At 53.8% G+C, this 18,269-nt stretch overlaps 1 protein-coding gene and 1 long non-coding RNA gene across 4 annotated transcripts in view, besides 10 other annotated features; one reads left to right on the top strand and one right to left on the bottom strand.

Moving 5' to 3' along the window:
* CLIP2 (CAP-Gly domain containing linker protein 2) overlaps positions 1-2,085 on the bottom strand; it is a 116,529-nt gene extending 114,444 nt beyond the window's left edge. For all 3 annotated transcript variants that reach the window (NM_003388.5, NM_032421.3, XM_047420800.1), the window contains exon 1: positions 1,758-2,085. The gene's annotated coding sequence lies outside the window, so the exon portion shown is untranslated. The remainder of the gene's footprint in view (positions 1-1,757) is intronic.
* Positions 443-1,086: an enhancer, noted in NCBI's record as "H3K27ac-H3K4me1 hESC enhancer chr7:73704736-73705379 (GRCh37/hg19 assembly coordinates)". NCBI's record gives its function as "activates a minimal SCP1, AML or CMV promoter by ChIP-STARR-seq in naive H9 embryonic stem cells {active_cell/tissue: H9 hESC(naive)}" and the evidence as "EXISTENCE:reporter gene assay evidence [ECO:0000049][PMID:30033119]".
* Positions 1,087-1,731: an enhancer, noted in NCBI's record as "H3K27ac-H3K4me1 hESC enhancer chr7:73704091-73704735 (GRCh37/hg19 assembly coordinates)". NCBI's record gives its function as "activates a minimal SCP1, AML or CMV promoter by ChIP-STARR-seq in naive H9 embryonic stem cells {active_cell/tissue: H9 hESC(naive)}" and the evidence as "EXISTENCE:reporter gene assay evidence [ECO:0000049][PMID:30033119]".
* Positions 1,607-1,676: a silencer, noted in NCBI's record as "silent region_18278". NCBI's record gives its function as "represses an Ori minimal core promoter by ATAC-STARR-seq in GM12878 lymphoblastoid cells {active_cell/tissue: GM12878}" and the evidence as "EXISTENCE:reporter gene assay evidence [ECO:0000049][PMID:35858748]".
* Positions 1,697-2,166: a silencer, noted in NCBI's record as "silent region_18277". NCBI's record gives its function as "represses an Ori minimal core promoter by ATAC-STARR-seq in GM12878 lymphoblastoid cells {active_cell/tissue: GM12878}" and the evidence as "EXISTENCE:reporter gene assay evidence [ECO:0000049][PMID:35858748]".
* LOC107986742 (uncharacterized) lies at positions 2,185-10,637 on the top strand. The gene is made up of 2 exons (XR_001745024.2): positions 2,185-2,430; positions 9,942-10,637. It is a non-coding gene; the product is annotated as an uncharacterized LOC107986742 (long non-coding RNA).
* Positions 6,469-6,708: an enhancer, noted in NCBI's record as "active region_26158". NCBI's record gives its function as "activates an Ori minimal core promoter by ATAC-STARR-seq in GM12878 lymphoblastoid cells {active_cell/tissue: GM12878}" and the evidence as "EXISTENCE:reporter gene assay evidence [ECO:0000049][PMID:35858748]".
* Positions 8,194-8,824: an enhancer, noted in NCBI's record as "OCT4-NANOG-H3K27ac-H3K4me1 hESC enhancer chr7:73696998-73697628 (GRCh37/hg19 assembly coordinates)". NCBI's record gives its function as "activates a minimal SCP1, AML or CMV promoter by ChIP-STARR-seq in primed H9 embryonic stem cells {active_cell/tissue: H9 hESC(primed)}" and the evidence as "EXISTENCE:reporter gene assay evidence [ECO:0000049][PMID:30033119]".
* Positions 8,379-8,673: a silencer, noted in NCBI's record as "tiled region #8848; HepG2 Repressive non-DNase unmatched - State 21:Repr". NCBI's record gives its function as "represses a minimal TATA promoter and a strong SV40 promoter by Sharpr-MPRA in HepG2 cells {active_cell/tissue: HepG2}" and the evidence as "EXISTENCE:reporter gene assay evidence [ECO:0000049][PMID:27701403]".
* Positions 11,976-12,606: an enhancer, noted in NCBI's record as "H3K27ac-H3K4me1 hESC enhancer chr7:73693216-73693846 (GRCh37/hg19 assembly coordinates)". NCBI's record gives its function as "activates a minimal SCP1, AML or CMV promoter by ChIP-STARR-seq in primed H9 embryonic stem cells {active_cell/tissue: H9 hESC(primed)}" and the evidence as "EXISTENCE:reporter gene assay evidence [ECO:0000049][PMID:30033119]".
* Positions 16,810-16,879: an enhancer, noted in NCBI's record as "active region_26157". NCBI's record gives its function as "activates an Ori minimal core promoter by ATAC-STARR-seq in GM12878 lymphoblastoid cells {active_cell/tissue: GM12878}" and the evidence as "EXISTENCE:reporter gene assay evidence [ECO:0000049][PMID:35858748]".
* Positions 17,170-17,219: an enhancer, noted in NCBI's record as "active region_26156". NCBI's record gives its function as "activates an Ori minimal core promoter by ATAC-STARR-seq in GM12878 lymphoblastoid cells {active_cell/tissue: GM12878}" and the evidence as "EXISTENCE:reporter gene assay evidence [ECO:0000049][PMID:35858748]".

Below are 18,269 nucleotides of genomic sequence, written 5' to 3'. Positions count from 1 at the left end.
GCAAGGTCACATAGCTAGGGAGTGGCAGAGCTGGGATTTGAACCCGGGCTGTTAAGCTCCAGCATCTGAACTCTTCACCGCCAAGGTAGACAGCAGATGCCGGAAAGCGATTACTGCTCCTTGGAGTAAATTCCCCCTGCTGGGACTTTGGGCTCTGAGTGCAGAATTCCAGGCACCACCTTCCCAGCCTGCACGGTGCTGAGGGCTGGAGTTTGCAGGTGCACACAGGTGTGTGTGGAGGAGGCTCCTCCCAGGCGCCTCCACCTGCCTCTTCTGCCTTTGGAGCCCCTCTCCATCTCCACCGCCTCCACCTGTCCTGAAGCCAGAATCCCATCATTCCCCCGCAAGGCACTGCAGACAAGAATGCATCCTGTGCTCAACGCAGGTCTAAGTTCCTTAAATCCTAAGCTGTTTCTCTAACCCAATAGCCTCCTTTTCTGACTCCAAGCCCTTATTCACGCTATTTCTCCTGCACGAAACCCCCTTCAGGCAACCTGGCAGCAAACTTCTGCAAGATGCTCTATGAAGCTTCCTGGTCTGCCCCATCCTCCAGGGGACCCCCTCTATGCCCCCAGCTTCCCCACTAATGCACTCATCAACCCCCGGGGCTGCACTTTTTGGGGACACCGAGGCTGCTGTCCTGTGGACCAGCCAGCCCCTAGAAGTGCCAGGCCAGGTAACAGCAGCTGAATGAAGGGCTTATTGTTTACATTTACAACCGAAAGGGAAGAGGCTTCTGAAGCACACACGTGGTGCTCCCCGCACCCTCCTCCTCCTCTGCCCACAGCCCTAGGCCACCCCACCCACCTCCCTCAGGCATCGCGCAAGAGTGACGGCAGACCCCCTCATCCCAGACCCCCACTTCTCACCCAGAAGTGAGAGGAGGGGTCTCAGACGTTGGGGGACACACTGCTGGGTGGGTGATTTCCCCCCAAGGTGCTCCCTCTGCCCGTCCTTCCCAGGGTGGGGCTGGGGCCTGCGTGGCAGTGCCCAGTGGGCACCCGCTCGGCCCAAGCTCTGCCTGAAAGGTCCAAACGGGCGGGCCCTGAAGGTTCAGCCAAGCATCCTCCGCGGCCGCCGCCCCTCCCCGGGAGGAGGGCAGAAAATCTGCTGCCTCACCAGCCACCAGCGCCAGCTTGGGGGGACACCCCCTGAGAGAAGCCGCCCGCCTCAATCTCCTCCTACCCCACCTCAGCCAAGCACTTCAACCAAGTTTTGCAAAGGCCATCGGCCAGGCGACCCCAGAGGGTGTAGCAGGGAGGAGAGGGGGGCAGTCCCTGTTCTCCCAGACCCCAGGTTTGGAGATGGGGGCTGCATGGCCGCGCCCACCAGGCTGTGCTCCCCAGGCTCTGTGAGCCCAGAGAGCCCTGCGGCGCGTCCAGCCGTCTTGCTCTGCCCTTGGAAGGGGGTACGGGCGACCCTCCAACAGAAGGGCCAAACCCCCGTCCGAGGGTAGGGACCCCGATGAGGCTGGTGATGCCTTCAACAGGGGGACCCGCAGCCCGGGAATAGCCCCCAACCCTGGCACCCCAAGCAGTGCCCCCTCCTCTCCTACAAGCAACGGGGAAGTTGGGGCACACCCCAGCCAGCTCCCGCCCACGCCCACCGGCCGGCCTCGAACCCTCCCGCCCCCGCCCACGCCCCGACAATGCCTCCGGGCCCGCAGCCCCGCTTTCGGCCAGGCCGCCGCCCCCCGCATCTCTCCGTCCTTTGTTGCCCGCGCGACCCCCTCCCTCGGCCCCTCCAGCAGCCCCTACCTTCGTCCTTCCAGCATCAGGCTAAGCGGCGGGAGGCCCGGAGAGCCCCGGCCTCCTCCTCTCGGGCCCGGGCGCGCTGGGGGGCGAGGATGCTGCGGCCCCTCCCTGCGCGGCGCTGCCCACCGGCTGCACCCCCTCCTGGCGCCGGGGATCCCCGCGATAGGTGCTCAGGGCCCGGGCCTCGCGCCACGTCTCTGGGAAGGCGGGAGGCGCGCACCGAGGCCGCCCAGCAGCCGCCTGCGCGCCCCGCGGCCGAGCCGAGCTGAGCGCCCGCGGAGCCAGCGGAGCCAGCGGAGCCAGCGGCCCGGCTCCGGGAGGGAACAAAAGGGGCCGGCGCAGGGGCGGGCGCGGGAGGGCGGGGCCTGGGGCGGGCGGGAGGGGGGGGCGGGTCAGGCGCGCGTGGGCGGCCTCGCGGTTTTCAGGCCTCAGTGCCTCGCGGAAAGCAGGCGGGCGGGCGGAAAACGCGGAGCAACCTCTTCCCCCTCTCCCCGCTCCATCTCCTTCCCTTCCCAGGCCGCAGCTGTCCTTTGTGGGGCGTCCAGGGTTCGCCCACATCCACCTCCGCGCTGGGCACCTGGTGGTGCTTACATCGCGTTTGGTGAAACGCATCCTCCAGCCATGCTATGCTTGCAAAGATGTCTCTGGTCATTGGGAAGGACGGCAGCTTGGGAAGGTGAGATGCTGTTGGCGCTGGACAGAAAGGATGAGGAGGGGGACAGTGCAGCTGGGGCGAAAACTTCAGGTCTGTGTTGGGGCCAGCGTGGGTGGGGAACTGTGGCACAGGGTCTCATGGTTATCAAGGATCTCATAGCCTGGGCAGTGTCTCACGCCTGTAATCCCAGCACTTCAGGAAGCCAAGGCGTGCAGATCGCCTGAGGCCAAGAGTCCGAGAACAACCTGGGCAACGTAACCTTCGTCTCTACAAAAAATACAAAAATTAGCTGGGCGCGCGCCTGCGGTCCCAGCTACTGGGGAGGCTGGGGTGGGAGGATCGCTGGAGCCCAGGAGGTCGAGGCTGCAGTGAGTCATGATCAAGCCACGGCCCTTCAGCCTGGGTGACAGAGCGAGACTCCGTCCCAAAAGAAAAAAAAAAAAGGATCTCATGGTGATCAGCTTCCAAGATACAAATGAACCCTCCCCAGGACAGGATGCATGTACTGCTATTTCAGAGGAGTTGAGGCAGCTGCCAGGTCCCCTCCTGCGTGGAGAGGCAGATGCCAAGTGACAGCTCAGGAACTAAACAGTGACCAAGCCCCAGCCCCTGTCCATGCCCAGGCTGCGGTTGGCTTCTGTGGCTTGGTTTCCCTCTGTCCCCCCTTGATAAGCTCGCCTGGATGCCTTTGACCTAGCTGGCCGTTCTACCAGTCCTGCCCTGCCCCCTTTCTCTGTTTGACAAATCATATTCCCCCTTCAAAGCACAGCTTAAATGTCCCTGCTTTTCCCTTGAGTGCAGGAATGTGGGTGTTGGGGGAGGTTGTGGTCTGTATGGTGAGACCACTGTTCTGCGGGAGAGAAGTGCCACATACGATCTTGTTCCTATCCCCTAAGGGACCCAGTGCAATGCTTGGCAGAGGGTAGACATCCAGTAATATTTGTTGAATGAATGAATGAACTTACTAAGTTAACATTACCACCCCTCAACTGTCTTGGTATCCATAATCTTTGAGAAGTGAGTGAACCTTTTTTTAGAGAAGGGGTCTCACTCTGTCACCCAGGCTGGAGTGCAGTGGTGTGATTACAGCTCACTGCAGCCTCAAACTCCCAGGCTCAAATGATCCTCCTGCCTCAGCCTCCAGAGTAGCTGGGACTACGGGCATGCACCATGCCCGGCTAATTTTTTGTGTTTTTTATAGAGATGGGGTCTCATTATGTTGGGGTCCAGGCTGGTCTTAAACTCTTGGCTTCAGATGATCTTCCCACCTCAGCCTCCCAAAGTGCTGGGATTACAGCTGTGAGCCACCGTGCCTGGCCTAAACATTTTGACCTCAGTTTCCCCATCTGTAAATTGGGGAGAGTGTTTCAATTCAGTTCAGCGAACATGCAATGCTGTAATGATGGAGGCTGGGCATGGGGTCAGCCCTGAGGGGGTGCCCAGTTGGTGTGGAGAGCCAGACTTGGAGACTAATAAGGGAGGAGGTTCAGAGTGAACTCCAGAAAGACTGGGCTTCTGTAGGAGGTGTGAACCCATAGGGAGGGAGGGGACTCAGGGTGGAGAGGGCAGTGTTCAGGAAACAGGGAGCTAATTGTTCCTTGTGGCTGGGATGCATAACCTGTATATCAACAGTTATAAACCAGCCAGGCACAGTGGCTCACACCTGTAATCCCAGCACTTTAGGAGGTGGTGGCGGGCAGATAACCTGAGGTCAGGAGTGCGAGACCAGCCTGGCCAACGTGATGAAACCCCATCTCTACAGAAGATGCAAAAAATAGCTGGGTGTGGTGGTACATGCCTGTAATCCCAGCTACTCGGGAGGGTGAAGCTTGAGAATGGCTTGAACCCAGAAGGCGAAGGTTGCAGTGAGTGGAGATCATACCACTACACTCCAGCCTGGGCAACAGAAGGGATGGGATGGGATGGGACGGGACGGGACGGGATGGGGCAGGGATTTGCCAAGGTGACATGGGTCTTGCTGGGATGTACCTGAGCTCACCAGCCCCTGCCCAGCAGATCTAGCCTCCCACATGTGCCTCAGGAGGTAGGCAGGGGCCCCCAACCTTCACAGGTACTGCCTCCCTCACTGATGGCCCCCAGTATTATTCAGAGCAACAGCCTGCGGTCAACAGACCTTACCTGGCCGCTGGTGAGTGGAGCTTCAAAGAGCAAGTCACCTGAGAGGGACACCTTTTGTTCTTGCTCCAGATGAGAGAAGACAGGCTTCTGTCTTGTTACAGTTTGCATTTGGGGGGCCGGGCACAGTGGCTCACACCTGTAATCCCAGCACTTTGGGAGGCCAAGGCGGGCGGATCACAAGGTCAGGAGTTCGAGACCAGCCTGGCCAACATGGTGAAACTCCGTCTCTACTTAAAATACAAAAAATTAGCCGGGCATGGTGGCACACACCTGTAATCCCAACTACTTGGGAGGCTGAGGCAGGAGAATCACTTGAACCCGGGAGGCGGAGGTTGCAGTGAGCTGAGATCGCACCATTGCACTCCAGCCTGGGCAACAAGAGCAAGACTTTGTCTCAAAAAAAAAAAAAAAAAAAAGTTTGCGTTCGAGTTTTTCTGCTTCTTTCAGTAGATGAACCTGATGCTGTCTGATGTGAGGGTTGGGGTCCTGGCCTTGGCCCCTGCCCTGGCATCAGGCCTCCGTGATGGGTGGGGAGGCAGGCGGGGGGATCTGGAGGGGGTGTTCTCCCAGCCGACCTCTCACCCAGGCCTTTTGTCTCCACTGAAACTGCTGATTTGGTCATTTTCTTGCTGACGCCGGCTGTGACCAGCAGCCTCACGGGAGGATTTTTCATGGGAAGAGAGAGTTGGGAATAATTTTCGAGCCAGAGCTGAATTCTCTGAGGCCTGCAATGGGCCAGCCACGGGAGAGGCCTGGGCTGCTTTGCAGGTGGCGATCTCTCTGGTATACTATTTATTTATTTATTTATTTGTTTATTTATTATTTTACTTTTTCAGGGGTAGAGACAGAGGCTTTCTATGTTGCCCAGGCTGGTCTCGAAATCCTGGCCTCAAGTGATCCTCCCACCTCGGCCTCCCAAAGCGCTGGGATTACAGGCTCTGGGCACCACGCCTGGCCTATTTTTATTTTTTTATTTTTCATTTTAGAATCCATAGGACAGCTACAGGATGGGATATGTTTGCAGTGTCTGAACTGCTGTTTACAAGGCATTTGTTATAATGTGGGGAAACAGTTACGTATTTACACCCACCAGGAAAATACACTTCATGAAACTGCGGATATGGAGCCAAGCTTAGTGCCTCATGCCTGTCATCCCAGCGAGTGGGGAGACTGAGGTGGGAGGATCACTTGAGCCCACGAGTTGGAGGCTATAGTGAGTTATGATCATACCATTGCACTCCAGCCTGGGCAACAGAGCAAGATCCCATTTTATTTTATTTTATTTTTAAAATTGTGGGCCAGTTGTGGTGGCTCATGCCTGTAATCCCAGCACTTTGGGAGGCCAAGGCAGGAGGATTGCCTGAGCCCCAGAGTTGGAGACCAGCCTGGGCAACATGATGAAACCCTGTCTCTACTAAAAACACAAAAAGCTAGCCAGGCATGGTGGCACATGCCCGTAATCCCAGCTACTCAGGAGGCTGATGCAGGAGAATCGCTTGAACCCGGGAGGCGGAGGTTGTAGTGAGCCAAGATCGTACCACTACAGTCCAGCCTCGGTGAAAAAGTGAGACCTTGTCTCAAAAAAACTGGTAACTGTGGTGGGCTTTGGGTGGGGGGAATCCGTGGGACTTTTTTCTTCCCTTTTCTGAATTTTTCTGCAACAGGCATGTGCTGCTTTGGGGACTAATAAAAGAAACTTAAACCCAAACCGCTTCTGCTGAAATGATTGGATGTTGCTGTGACCTTTCTGCCTAGCAGAGCAGAGGCTGCACAGGGTGGCAGGTGGCACAGGCTGGGAATTGCATCACCACGGAGATACCAGCTAAGGCTATCACGCCGGTGGCCACACCCTTACTTTCAACTGCATGGACTTTGCCTTTATCCAGTTCTCCCCACCTTGGGGTATATCGGTCTTGGAGGAAGCTCCGGTACTTCCCTCTGGCTTGGTACAGTGCTAGTGGAAACAGCCCAGTGGTAAAGGAAGGCCATAGTAGCTCTCTGCTGCCAGGTGATAGGGGGACTTCCCCTCGTTGGGGGTTTCCAAGATGCATGGGGGCTTTTTCTATGCAGCCTCCCCGGATTTCCCAAGGGAAGATAACAAGGCCTCCCCTGCTGTGTGAAGGAAAGCTGACATGGCTGAGGATTGTTACGAGAGAAGCTTAAGCTTAAAACTGCATGAGGCCGGGTGTTGTGGCTCACGCCTGTAATCACAGCACTTTGGGAGGTGGAGGCTGGCAGATCACCTGAGGTTGGGAGTTCGAGACCAGACTGACCAACATGGAGAAACCCCTTCTCTACTAAAAATACAAACTTAGCCGGGTGTGGTGGCTCATGCCTGTAATCCCAGGTAATTGGGAGGCTGAGGCAGGAGAACCGCTTGAACCCAGGAGGCGGAGGTTGCAGTGAGCCGAGATCACACCATTGCACTCCAGCCTGGGCAACAAGAGAGAAACTCTGTCTCAAAACAAAAACAAAAACAAAAAAACTTCGCATGGATTGTGTTGATAAATGAAGACCACCCCAAAGAGAACAAGCAAAGCCTGCTTATTCAGACCTTGTTATTGCAAGAGAAGTGGGCCAGCAAAGGCCAGCAAAAATTTTAAAAAGCTTTATTTATGTTTTGATATAGGGTCTTGCTATGTTGCCCAGGCTGGTCTTGAACTCCTGGGCTAAAGCAATCCTCCATGCCTCAGCCTCCCAAGTAGCTGGGATTACAGGCACGCACCACCGCTCCTCACTTAGGGAAAACACTCCCAACTTCCTCCTGCTGGGGGAAGTCTCTAAAGGTGCTGGCTAAGGGCCCCTCTGCAGTCTGTCAGTTTCCAGCCTCAAGACCGTCCTCCACAGCTGCTATTACTCACTTAGCCCCGCAGTCCCTGAGTCCTATGGTTGCACATCTGTGCGTTATGTCACCCGGCCCAAGGCAGTGACACGCACTGAAGCTTGTTTATTCCGAGTTTCCAGGAGCCATCTGCCCGGGGACACTGCCCTGGACCAGGCTGGGCTCTTTCTCCCCTGATTCCTGCAGGGCTGCTCCCAGGACTCCTCTGCAAAACCACACTTTCTCTCTCAGGCCAGGTCTAAGGGGGCATCTCTTCTGGGTTCTTTTGCATCCTTCTGATACTTTTTTTTTTTTTTTTTTGAGATGGAGTCTCGCTGTCACCCAGGCTGGAGTGCAGTGGCACAATCTTGGCTTGCTGCAACTTTCGCCTCCTGGGTTCAAGCAATTCTCCTGCCTCAGCCTCCTGAGTAGCTGGGATTACAGGCACCTGCCACCACGCCTGGCTAATTTTTGTGTTTTTGGTAGAGACGAGATTTCGCCATGTTGGCCAAGCTGATCTTGAACTCCCTACCTCAGGTGATCCACCCGCCTTGACCTCCCAAAGTGCTGGGATTACGGGTGTGAGCCATTACACCTGGCCTGGGCCACAAACATTTAATTCTTTAAGTGTGGGGCTTAAGGGCAGCTTTCCGGAGGAGGTGACAGCCTAGGTGTGTCTTGAAGGATGGATGTGGCAGGCGGAGGCTGACGGTGGGAAGAACCTTGAAGAGCTCAAGTGGCCAGGGAATGGGGACCAAGATGAGGGCAGAGGAGTGGCAGGACTCAGTCAGGGAGGGCCTTGTATGGCAGGGCTGTAAAACTGGGCTTTTTCCTAAGGGCAATGGGGAGCCCTGGAGGGTTCTAGGCAGTGGAGAGACGAATTTTAGACCTGAAGCCTGGTTCCCTAGGCCATACGGGGACTGCATGGTGACAGATGGGAGGAGATGGTCTGGACCTTAGGTGTGAGCTGAGAAAAAGCAAGTCATTGAGAACGGGATCCCCACACTCTGGGTTTCCATCTCCTCCCAGCAACAGGAGGGACCCTAGCCCCGACGCCTCTGATGTCGGGACGAGGGTTTTGCTGCCTGCACTTGAGGTGCAAGGCGGACCTCAGCTGTCTGCCTCCGAAAGCTCCCAGTGTCCTGGCAGGGGGTAATTAGCCAAGCTTCACAGGGCCAGGGACAAGGGCATGCTTGTTTGTCCAAGCCTGCTGTCCCACTGTGAAAATCGACATTCTTTTGTGTCCCTAAAGGAATGTTAAGCCGGGTGAGTGGCTCCCACCTATAATCCCAGCACTTTGGGAGGCCGAGGTGGGCAGATCACCTGAGGTCAGGAGTTTGAGACCAGCCTGGCCAACATGGCAAAACCCCATCTTTACTAAAAATGCAAAAATTACCCAGGTGTGGTGGCGGGCACCTGTAGTCCCAGCTGCTAGGGAGGCTAAGGCAGGAGAATGGCATGAACCCGGGAGGCAGAGCTTGCAGTGAGCCGAGATCGTGCCACTGCACTTCAGCCTGGGAGACAGAGCGAGACTCCGCCTCAAAAAATAAAAATAAAAAATAAAATTAAAAAGTACCTGGGTGTGGTGGTGGGTGCCTGTAATCCCAGCTACTCAGGAGGCTGAGGCAAGAGAATTGCTTGAACCCGGGCGGCGGAGGCTGCAGTGAACCAAGATTACACCATTGCACTCCAGCCTGGGCAATAAGAGCAAAACTCCAGCTCAAAAAAAAAAAAAAAAAAAAGAAGGGGGACACCTGTCAGGTAGTGCAGGGCAGAGGGACTGTTTCTGTACAAAGCATTTCACACTTGCCTTTTCATGTTGATTGGGCAAGAAGAAGAAGACGCCACAATCTTAGTCCAGAGCGATCAGCTCTGATAAAAGATTTAGCAAGGGCCAGGCGCAATGGTGCACACCTGTAATCCCAGCACTTTGGGAGGCTGAGGCAGGAGGACCGCTTGAGCCCGGGAGTTCAAGATCAGCCTGGGCGACATAGCAAGACCCCATGTCTACCAAAAAATAAGAAAATTAGGCCGGGCGCGGTGGCTCACGCCTGTAATCCCAGCACTTTGGGAGGCCGAGGCGGGCGGATCACGAGGTCAGGAGATCGAGACCATCCCGGCTAAAACGGTGAAACCCCGTCTCTACTAAAAATACAAAAAAATTAGCCGGGCGTAGTGGCGGGCGCCTGTGGTCCCAGCTACTTGGGAGGCTGAGGCAGGAGAATGGCATGAACCCGGGAGGCGGAGCTTGCAGTGAGCCGAGATCCCACCACTGCACTCCAGCCTGGGCGACAGAGCGAGACTCCGTCTCAAAAAAAAAAAAAAAAAAAAAAAATAAGAAAATTAGCCGGGTGTGATGGTGTCCACCTGCAGTCCCAGCTACTCAGGAGACTGAGACAGGAGGATTGCTTGAGCCAGGAGGTTGAGGCTGCAGTAAGCCATGATTGTGCCATTGTACTTCAGCCTGGGTGACAGAGCAAGACCTCATCTCAAAAATAATAATAATAATAATAAGATTTAGCAAGGAAGAGAGGAGGAAATGGCCAAAATGAAGTTTTTGTGTCTTTGGCAGGAGGATGTCCGTGAATGTCATCAGTGAGCCGGCGCCTGTCCCCCTCTACCCTGGAGCTGAAGGCAGCTTCTACACAAACCCTCCTGGGGCCTGCTCCGTGACTCAGTTTCCCTGTCATGTGCTGCTGCTGCTTTTTTTTCTCTTTCATTAGGGCTTCCCCTCCACCCTCCCTGCAGGGTCACTGGGCTGGTGCCCTGGGCAGGGAGGAACACCAGCATGTGGCCTCAGACCTCAGAGTCCTTTCTGCTCGCTCATTGACCTGTTTGCAACTCTGGACTCACAGCCGACGTTGCAAACTGAGGTTCCTGGAGTAATTCTAACCCTTTGGGAATCGCCCCACCCCCAGACTGTGAGCACACCAAGGGCATGATCCATCTGTCCAGGCCACCCTTGTGTGCCACTGGATGCATGAAGGAATGTTGACATCAGCCTAAGGTCCTGCGTCAGCTCCCAGTAGCCTGATGTCAGGACCTCAAATGCAGGCTGAGAAGAGAACATAGGAGATGGGCCTTTTATAAGGCCAACCAGAAGGTCAGAAGACTTGGGCTCCAGCCGGATGCGGCGACTCACACCTGTAATCCCAGTACTTTGGGAGGTCGAGGTGAGAGGATCACTCGAGGCCTGGAGTTTGAGACCAGCCTAGGCAACACAGTGAGACCCCATCTCTAAAAAAATTAAAAAATTAGCTGAGTGTGATGGTGCATGCCTGCAGTACCCGCTATTCAGGAGGGTGAGGTGGGAGGATTGCTTGAGCCCAGGAGGTCAAGGCTGCAATGAGCTATGATCACACTCCAGACTGGGCAACAGAGAGAGACCTTGTCTCAGAAAAAAAAAAAAAAAAGAGAGAGAGAGAGGAGGAGGAGGCTGGGTGCAGTGGCTCACACCTGTAATCTAAACACTTTGTTTGTTTGTTTGTTTGAGAGGGAGTCTCACTCTGTCGCCCAGGCTGGAGTTCAGTGGCGCGATCTCAGCTCACTGCAACCTCTGCCTCCCAGGTCAAGCGATTCTCCTGCCTCAGCCTCCCGAGTAGCTGGGATTATGGGCACATGCCACCACGCCCAGCTAATTTTTGTATTTGCAGTAGAGACAGGGTTTCACCATGTTGGCCAGCATGGTCTTAAACTGCTGACCTCAGGTGATCTGCCCACCTTGGCCTCCCAAAGTGCTGAGATTACAGGCGTGAGCTACTGCACCTGGCTTTGTAATCCCAACACTTTGAGAGGCCAAGGTGGGAGCACTGCTTGAGGCCAGGAGCTTGAAACCAGCCTGGGCAACATAATGAGACCCCGTTTCTACAAAAATAAACAAATTAGCCGGGCATGGTAGTGCATGCTTGTAGTCCCAGCCACTCAGCAGGCTGAGGCTGGAGGATTGGTTGAGCCCAGGAGTTCAAGGCTGCAGTGAACCATGATTGGGTCACTGCAACAGAGGGAGACCCAGAAAGAAAGAAAGAAAGAGAGAAAGAGAGAAAGGGGGGGGGAGGGGGAGGGGAGAGGAGGGGAGGGGAGGAAACACCAGGAATTTGCATGCACAGAGGAAGGCAATATGAGGACAGAGCAAGAAGGCAGCTGCCTGCAAGCCAAGGAGAGAGGCCTCAGGAGCAACCAACCTCACCAACACCTTGACCTTAGACTTCCAGCCTCCAGAACTGTGAGAAAATAACTTTGTGTTGTTTGAGCCACTCAGCCTGTGGTATTTTACTATGGCAGCTCAAGCTGACTCATGCACCAGGAATTTCCACGGGACTGTGTCACACTTGCAAACGTCATCTGTGACTATCCGGGTGGGAGGACAGCAGATCTGGGGACTGGGCTCTGCAGCCTTCCCAAATGCAGCTTCCTGTGATTCCATTCTTCCACTTTGGCAGTCGAATGAGTCAGTGGAAGATTTGCAAACACGGAGCTAAAGGAAGATCTGGAAAGGAGGAGATGCACCGGGGAGTGTGAAGGGCATTTGGAGCCCAAGCCCGTCCTTTCCCAGGCCCCTGGAGCCCACCCAGCTAACCACAAGCACCACTGAAATCCACCAGAGCAATAGGAAAATTAGCTGGGTGCAGTGGCTCATGCTGTAAAACCCAGCTACCTGGGACGCTGAGGCACGAGAATCACTTGAACCCAGAAGGTGGAGGTTGCAGTGAGTGGAGATCACACCACTGCACTCCAGCCTAGGCAACAGAGTAAGACCCTGTCTAAAAAAAAAAAAAAAAAAAAATGGGCGCGGTGGCTCAAGCCTGTAATCCCAGCACTTTGGGAGGCCAAGGGGGGTGGATCACCTGAGGTCAGGAGTTCAAGACCAGCCTGGCCAACACGGTGAAACCCCGTCTCTACTAAAAATACAAAAATTAGCTGGGCGTGGTGGCAGGCACCTGTAATCCCAGCTACTCCCGGAGGCTGAGGCAGGAGACTTGCTTGAACATGGGAGGTGGAGGTTGCAGTAAGCCGAGATTGCACCATTGCACTCCAGCCTGGGGTATAAGAGTGACACTTCGTCTCAAAAAAAAAGAAAGAAAGAAAAGAAATCAACCAGGGTCCCAGGGTGAAAATGAATTCAGCCAAACAAAATTCTTTTATTTCTTTTTTTTGTTAGAGATGAGGGTCTTGCTTTGTTGCCCAGGCTGGAGTGCAGTGGTACGATCATAGCTCACTGCAGCCTGGAACTTCTGGGCTCAAGTGATCCTCCCACCTCAGCCTCCCAGATAAGCGGGAGGGACTACAGGCAAGGACCACCATGCCTGGCTAATTTTTTAAATTTTTCTGTAGAGACGAAGTCTTGCTATGTTGCCCAGGCTGATCTTGAACTCCTGAGCTCAAATGATGCTCCCACGTCAGTCTCCCAAAGCGTTGAAATTACAGGCATGAGCCACTGCACCCCGCCAGATGTTTTGTTGTTGTTGTTGTTTTGTTTTGTTTTGTTTGAGATGGAGTTTTGCTCTTGTCGCCCAGGCTGGAGTGCAATGGTGCAATCTCAGCTCACGGCAATCTCTGCCTCCCGGGGATTCTCCTGCCTCAGCCTTCTGAGTAGTTGGAATTACAGGTATGTGCCACCAGGCTCGGCTAATTTTCTGTATTTTTAGTAGAGACGGGGTTTCACCATGCTGGTCAGGCTGGTCTCGATCACCTCAGGTGATCCACCCACCTTGGCCTCCCAAAGTGCTGGGATTACAGGCATGAGCCACCGTGCCTGGCCTCGCCAGATGTTTACTTCTTTTCAGTGGCTTGGTTTGGGCTACAGTTTTTTGTTTTTTTTTTTTAAGATAGAGTCTCACTCTGTTGCCCAAGCTGGAGTGCAGAGACATGATCTTGGCTCATTGCAACCTCTGCCTCCTGGGTTCAAGCGACTCTCTTGCCTCAGCCTCCCGAGTAGCTGGGATTGCAGGTGCTCACCACCACGCCTGGCTATTTTTTTTTTTTTTTGTATTTGTAGTAGAGACAGGGTTTCACTATGTTGGCCAGGCTGATCTCGAACTCCTGACCTCAGGTGATCTGCCCGCCTCAGCTACAGTCTTAAGCGAGGAGCTGGGTCATTCTGCTATGGGGCAAAGTGGGGTGCAATATCTTCCTTTGTGACTCAGTTTCCGATATGTTAAGTCTATACACCCGTACATTTATTGAATGTAGATTCTCATTTGAATTCCTCTGGGGACAGTCCTTGAGTGAAAACACAAACCCATTCACTCTGGGAATTCCTGCTCCCTGAGCACAGGTGCAGGCTGCAAAGACACAGTCACCTGTGAAACATGCGGATGCCCCCAGGCCTGGGGTCAGAGGCCCTGGAGGAAGTCAGGGGGGCTGCCACAAATCAAGCAGTTTTTCCTTGCCAAAGGACCCCCAACAGCCCAGCCTGGCCAACATGGCATAGCCCCATCTCTACCAAAAATACAAAAATTAGCCAGGCATGTTGGCGCACATCTGTAATCCCACCTACTTGGGAGGGTGAGGCAGGAGAATGGCTTTGAGGTTTGGAGGTGGAGGCTGCAGCAAGCCAAGATCGTGCCACTGCACTCCAGCCTTGGTGACAGGGGGTCTGTCTTAAAAAAAGAAAAAAGGCTGGGCGCGGTGGCTCACGCCTGTAATCCCAGCACTTTGGGAGGCCGACGTGGGCGGATCATGAGGTCAAGAGATGGAGACCATCCTGGCTAACACGGTGACACCCTGTCTCTCCTAAAAATACAAAAAAAATTAGCCGGGTGTGGTGGTGGGCACCTGTAGTCCCAGCTACTCAGGAGGCTGAGGCAGGAGAATCGCTTGAACCCAGGAGGCGGAGGTTGCAGTGAGCCGAGATCGCGCCACTGCACTCCAGCCTAGGCGACAGAGCAAGACTGTCTCACAAAAAAAAAAAAAAAAGAAAAAAAAGGATGCCCAACAGTATCTAGCACAGCAACTCCTCTACTGCATCAAGGGTGCCCGCTTGCCCACACTCAGCTGCAAGCTGCTGTCTCTCCAAGTTTCTTGTCGGCCTGAGGCCTAGAGAAGAAAGCCGGTGTGTCATGAGTCCCCTCTCACCACTGACATTCCTGACAACTCCCCATCAGGAAGGAAGCACTGGGGCTGGAGACCGATGGTCCCTCTGGTCCCTTTGCCCTGGGTTTGGGATTCGCACCCAGGAGACCCATGGAATCACTGAGACCCCAGTCACAGCAGGGGCTCCAGGTGGGTGAAGGGGGCGGTGGGGTCTCTAAACCAGGGTACGGATGGGTTGAGGGGTTTCTTGTTCAGGGTGAGGGCAGGGTGGAGGTCTCTAAGTCAGGGTGGGGTGGGGTGGGGTGTAGTCCTGGTCTCTGTCCCCCACTCCTTTGGGTGACTTTTATACAGGTTTCTTCCCCCAGCGTGCTGGTCCTAGGTTTGGAAGATGAGGTGGGGGAGGTGCACGTGTATGGTAAATTGCTTTTGGTTTTGATTACAAAATAACGTACATATGAAGTGGCTCTCCAATGTATAGGCATGACTTCAGGATAAGAAAATAAACACCTATGTGAAGGACGCCTGGCTCAAGAAATAGAACTTTCCAGGTATCTTGGAATCCCCTAGTTTCCCCTCTCCATTCCCTCCCCTCCCTAAACATACCTGCTTAGCTGAATTTTGGTTTTCTTCCCTTTTCTTTTCTTTCTTTTTTATTTTATTTTTATTTATTTATTTATTTTGAGTCAGAGTCTTGCTCTGTCGCCCAGGCTGGAATACAGTGGCACGATCTCGGCTCACTGCAATCTCCGTCTCCCGGGTTCAAGCAATTCTCCTGCCCCAGCCTCCCGAGTAGCTGGGACTACAGGCATGTGCCACCACGCCCAGCTAATTTTTGTATTTTTAGTAGAGATGGGGTTTCACCATGTTGGCCAGGCTGGTCTCGAACTCCTGGCCTCAAGCAGCTCTCCTGCGTCAGCCTCACAAATAGCTGGGACTAGAGGCATGAGCTACCACACCCAGCTGCTGCTTTTTTTTTTTCCTGATAAAATTAAGTTTGTTCACTTTACAAAGTGAGCTTCACTTTGCAAAGTGATCCTTCACTTTGCAAAGTAATTTCAGAAGAGTGGTAAATAAGCTGTAGTTATGAATTTAAAATACAGATTTATTTTTAATCCAAGTTTTCAGGGAAAGTAACTTAGAGTGAGACATGCTTGCTTTAAATAACAAATCTATAAATGACACAAATCAGTATGTTAGGATGCTAGAGGACCCTGGAACATTTCAATTCAATTTCTTCATTTTAGGAAATAGGGAACTGAAGGTTATCTCTGGCAATCTGGAGAGGCCAGGAACCCACCGCAGGCCCCCTGGAGATGGAGAGGGAAACAGGCGGGTAAAGAAAGCCCCTCTACTTAGATGGGCTTCTTGGACCTGAACAGCTGCATGTCTGGATGTGGTGGGCTGTGAAATGATCCCTGCCTTGCTGGGTGGTGGGGGTGGAGGTGGCAGCCAGCTCAGCTTGGGACTTGTCTCCAAGGACCAGCTGTGCCCCTGGGTCCTGGCCTCCTGCACCTTTGGGTCCCACCAGTGAGCCTGGCTCTGCAGGTCACCTGCGCTCGGCGTGCCCTTGGCCCTGGTCTCCCACCCTGCATGTGCCCTGCTGGCAGCCACCCACAGTGTCCCCTGCAGGCAGGTGCGTGTCCCTGCAAGCACAACCCAAGCTTTTCTTCCAAAGTCATATTCCAGCCTTCTTAAAATGTGGGTTAGGGCCAGGCACCGTGGCTCACGCCTGTAATCCCAGCACTTTGGGAGGCCAAGGCGGGTGGACCACAAGGTCAGGAAATCGAGACCATCCTGGCCAACATGGTGAAACCCCGTCTCTACTAAAACACACACACAAAAAATTAGCTGGGCATGGTGGTGTGTGCCTGTAGTCCCAGCTACTAGGGAGGCTGAGGCAGGGGAATCGCTTGACCCTGGGAGGCTGAGGTTGCAGTGAGCCGAGATCGCGTCACTGCACTCCAGCCTCGGCGACAGAGCAAGACTGCGTCTCAAAAAAAAAAAAAAAAAAGTGGAATTGGGGTCGGGCGCCGTGGCTCATGCCTGTAATCCCAGCACTTTGGGAGGCCAAGGGGGCAGATCACTTGAGGTCAGGAGTTTGAGACCACCCTGGGCAACATGGTGAAACCCTGTCTACTAAAAATACAAAAATAAGCCGGGCATGGTGGCACACACTGTAGTCCCAGCTACTCAGGAGGCTGAGGCAGAAGAATCGCTTGGACCTGGGAGGCAGAGGTTGCAGTGAGCCGAGATGGTGCCACTGCACTTACTCTGGGCAACAGAGCGAGATTCTGTCTAAAAAAAAAAAAAAAATCCTGTTTCCCCAGGAAACCCCTCTTCCATGGCTGCAACTGGTTCTCCGGAATACTCCTTCCTTCTCCTACCCACAGTCCAACCAGGCTGAGGCCACAGATACTTGGAACTCCTCATCCCTGTCCTTACTTTTTTTGCCTCAAGTAAGAAATCAGATGACACATCAGACCCAGGTCCCGGGGAACTCCCTGGGAAATCAGACACTGGCAGCCCAAGGGTGTTTTTTTTTGTTTTGTTTTGTTTTGAGACGGAGTCTCGCTCTGTCGCCCAGGCTGGAGTGCAGTGGTGCCATCTCAGCTCACTGCAACCTCTGCCTTCTGGGTTCAAGCGATTCTCCTGCCTCAGCCTCCTGATGCACGCCACCATGCCTGGCTAATTTTTTGTATTTTTAATAGAGACGGGTTTCACCGTGTTAGCCAGGATGGTCTCCATCTCCTGACCTTGTGATCCGCCCACCTCGGCCTCTCAAAGTGCTGGGATTACAGGTGTGAGCCACTGTGCCCAGCCCCAAGGGTGTTTTTTTAAAGACAGAGGATATGGGATGGGGTGGTGCAGCTTTGCTCAGAATCCTCATCCTCAAGGTCAAAAAAATAAGAAAAAAAATTGAGTTAAGTCCAGGCGTGGTGGCTCATGCCTATAATCCCAACACTTTGGGAGGCCGAGGCGGGTGGATCACTTGAGGTCAGCAGTTCGAGACCAGCCTGGCCATCATGGTGAAACCTCGTCTCTACTAAAAATATAAAAATTAGCCAGGTGTGGTGGCGTGTGCCTGTAGTCCCAGCTACTCGAGAGACTGAGGCAGGAGAATTGCATGAACCCAGGAGGCAGAAGTTGCAGTGAGCCGAGATCATGCCACTGCACTCCAGTCTGAGTGACAGAGTGAGACTCCATCTTAAAAAAAAAAAAAAAAAAAAATTTTGAGCAAAATCCAACCCCACTGGAAATCAGAAAAAGGAAGAAAAAAAAAAGATTATGGGAAAAAAATATAGAATCTTGGTCCTATGTCCAGGCATGGTGGCTCCTGCCTATCCCAGTGCTTTGGGAGGCCAAGGCTGGAGCATCGCTTGAAGCCAGGATTTTGAGACCAGCCTGGGCAACCTAGCAAGACCCCCATCTCTACAGAAAAACCTTTTTTTTTTTTAGATGAAATTTTGCTCTTGTTGCCCAGGCTGGAGTGCAATAGCACGATCTCGGCTCACTGCAACCTCTGCCTCCCGGATTCAAGCGATTCTCCTGCCTCAGCCTCCCGAGTACCTGGGATTACAGGCACCCACCACCACGTCCAACTAATTTTGTATTTTTGGTAGAGGTGAAGTTTCACCATGTTGGCCAGGCTGGTCTCAAATTCCCGACCTCAGGTGATCCACCTGCCTCGGCCTCCCAAAATGGTGGGATTACAGGTGTGACCACCTCGCCTGACCGAGGTCTCTCTCTCTTTTTTTTTTTTTTTTTTTTGAGACGGAGTCTCGCTCTATTGCCCAGGCTGGGCTGGAGTGCAGTGGCACTGTCTCACCTCTCTGAAAACTCCGCCTCCCGGGTTCACGCCATTCTCCTG

Source organism: Homo sapiens, chromosome 7, assembly GCF_000001405.40.
Source record: "Homo sapiens chromosome 7, GRCh38.p14 Primary Assembly".
Classification (NCBI taxonomy): domain Eukaryota; kingdom Metazoa; phylum Chordata; class Mammalia; order Primates; family Hominidae; genus Homo; species Homo sapiens.
The sequence above is the reverse complement of the archived record's forward strand: the minus strand, read 5'-3'. Positions and strand labels throughout refer to the sequence as shown.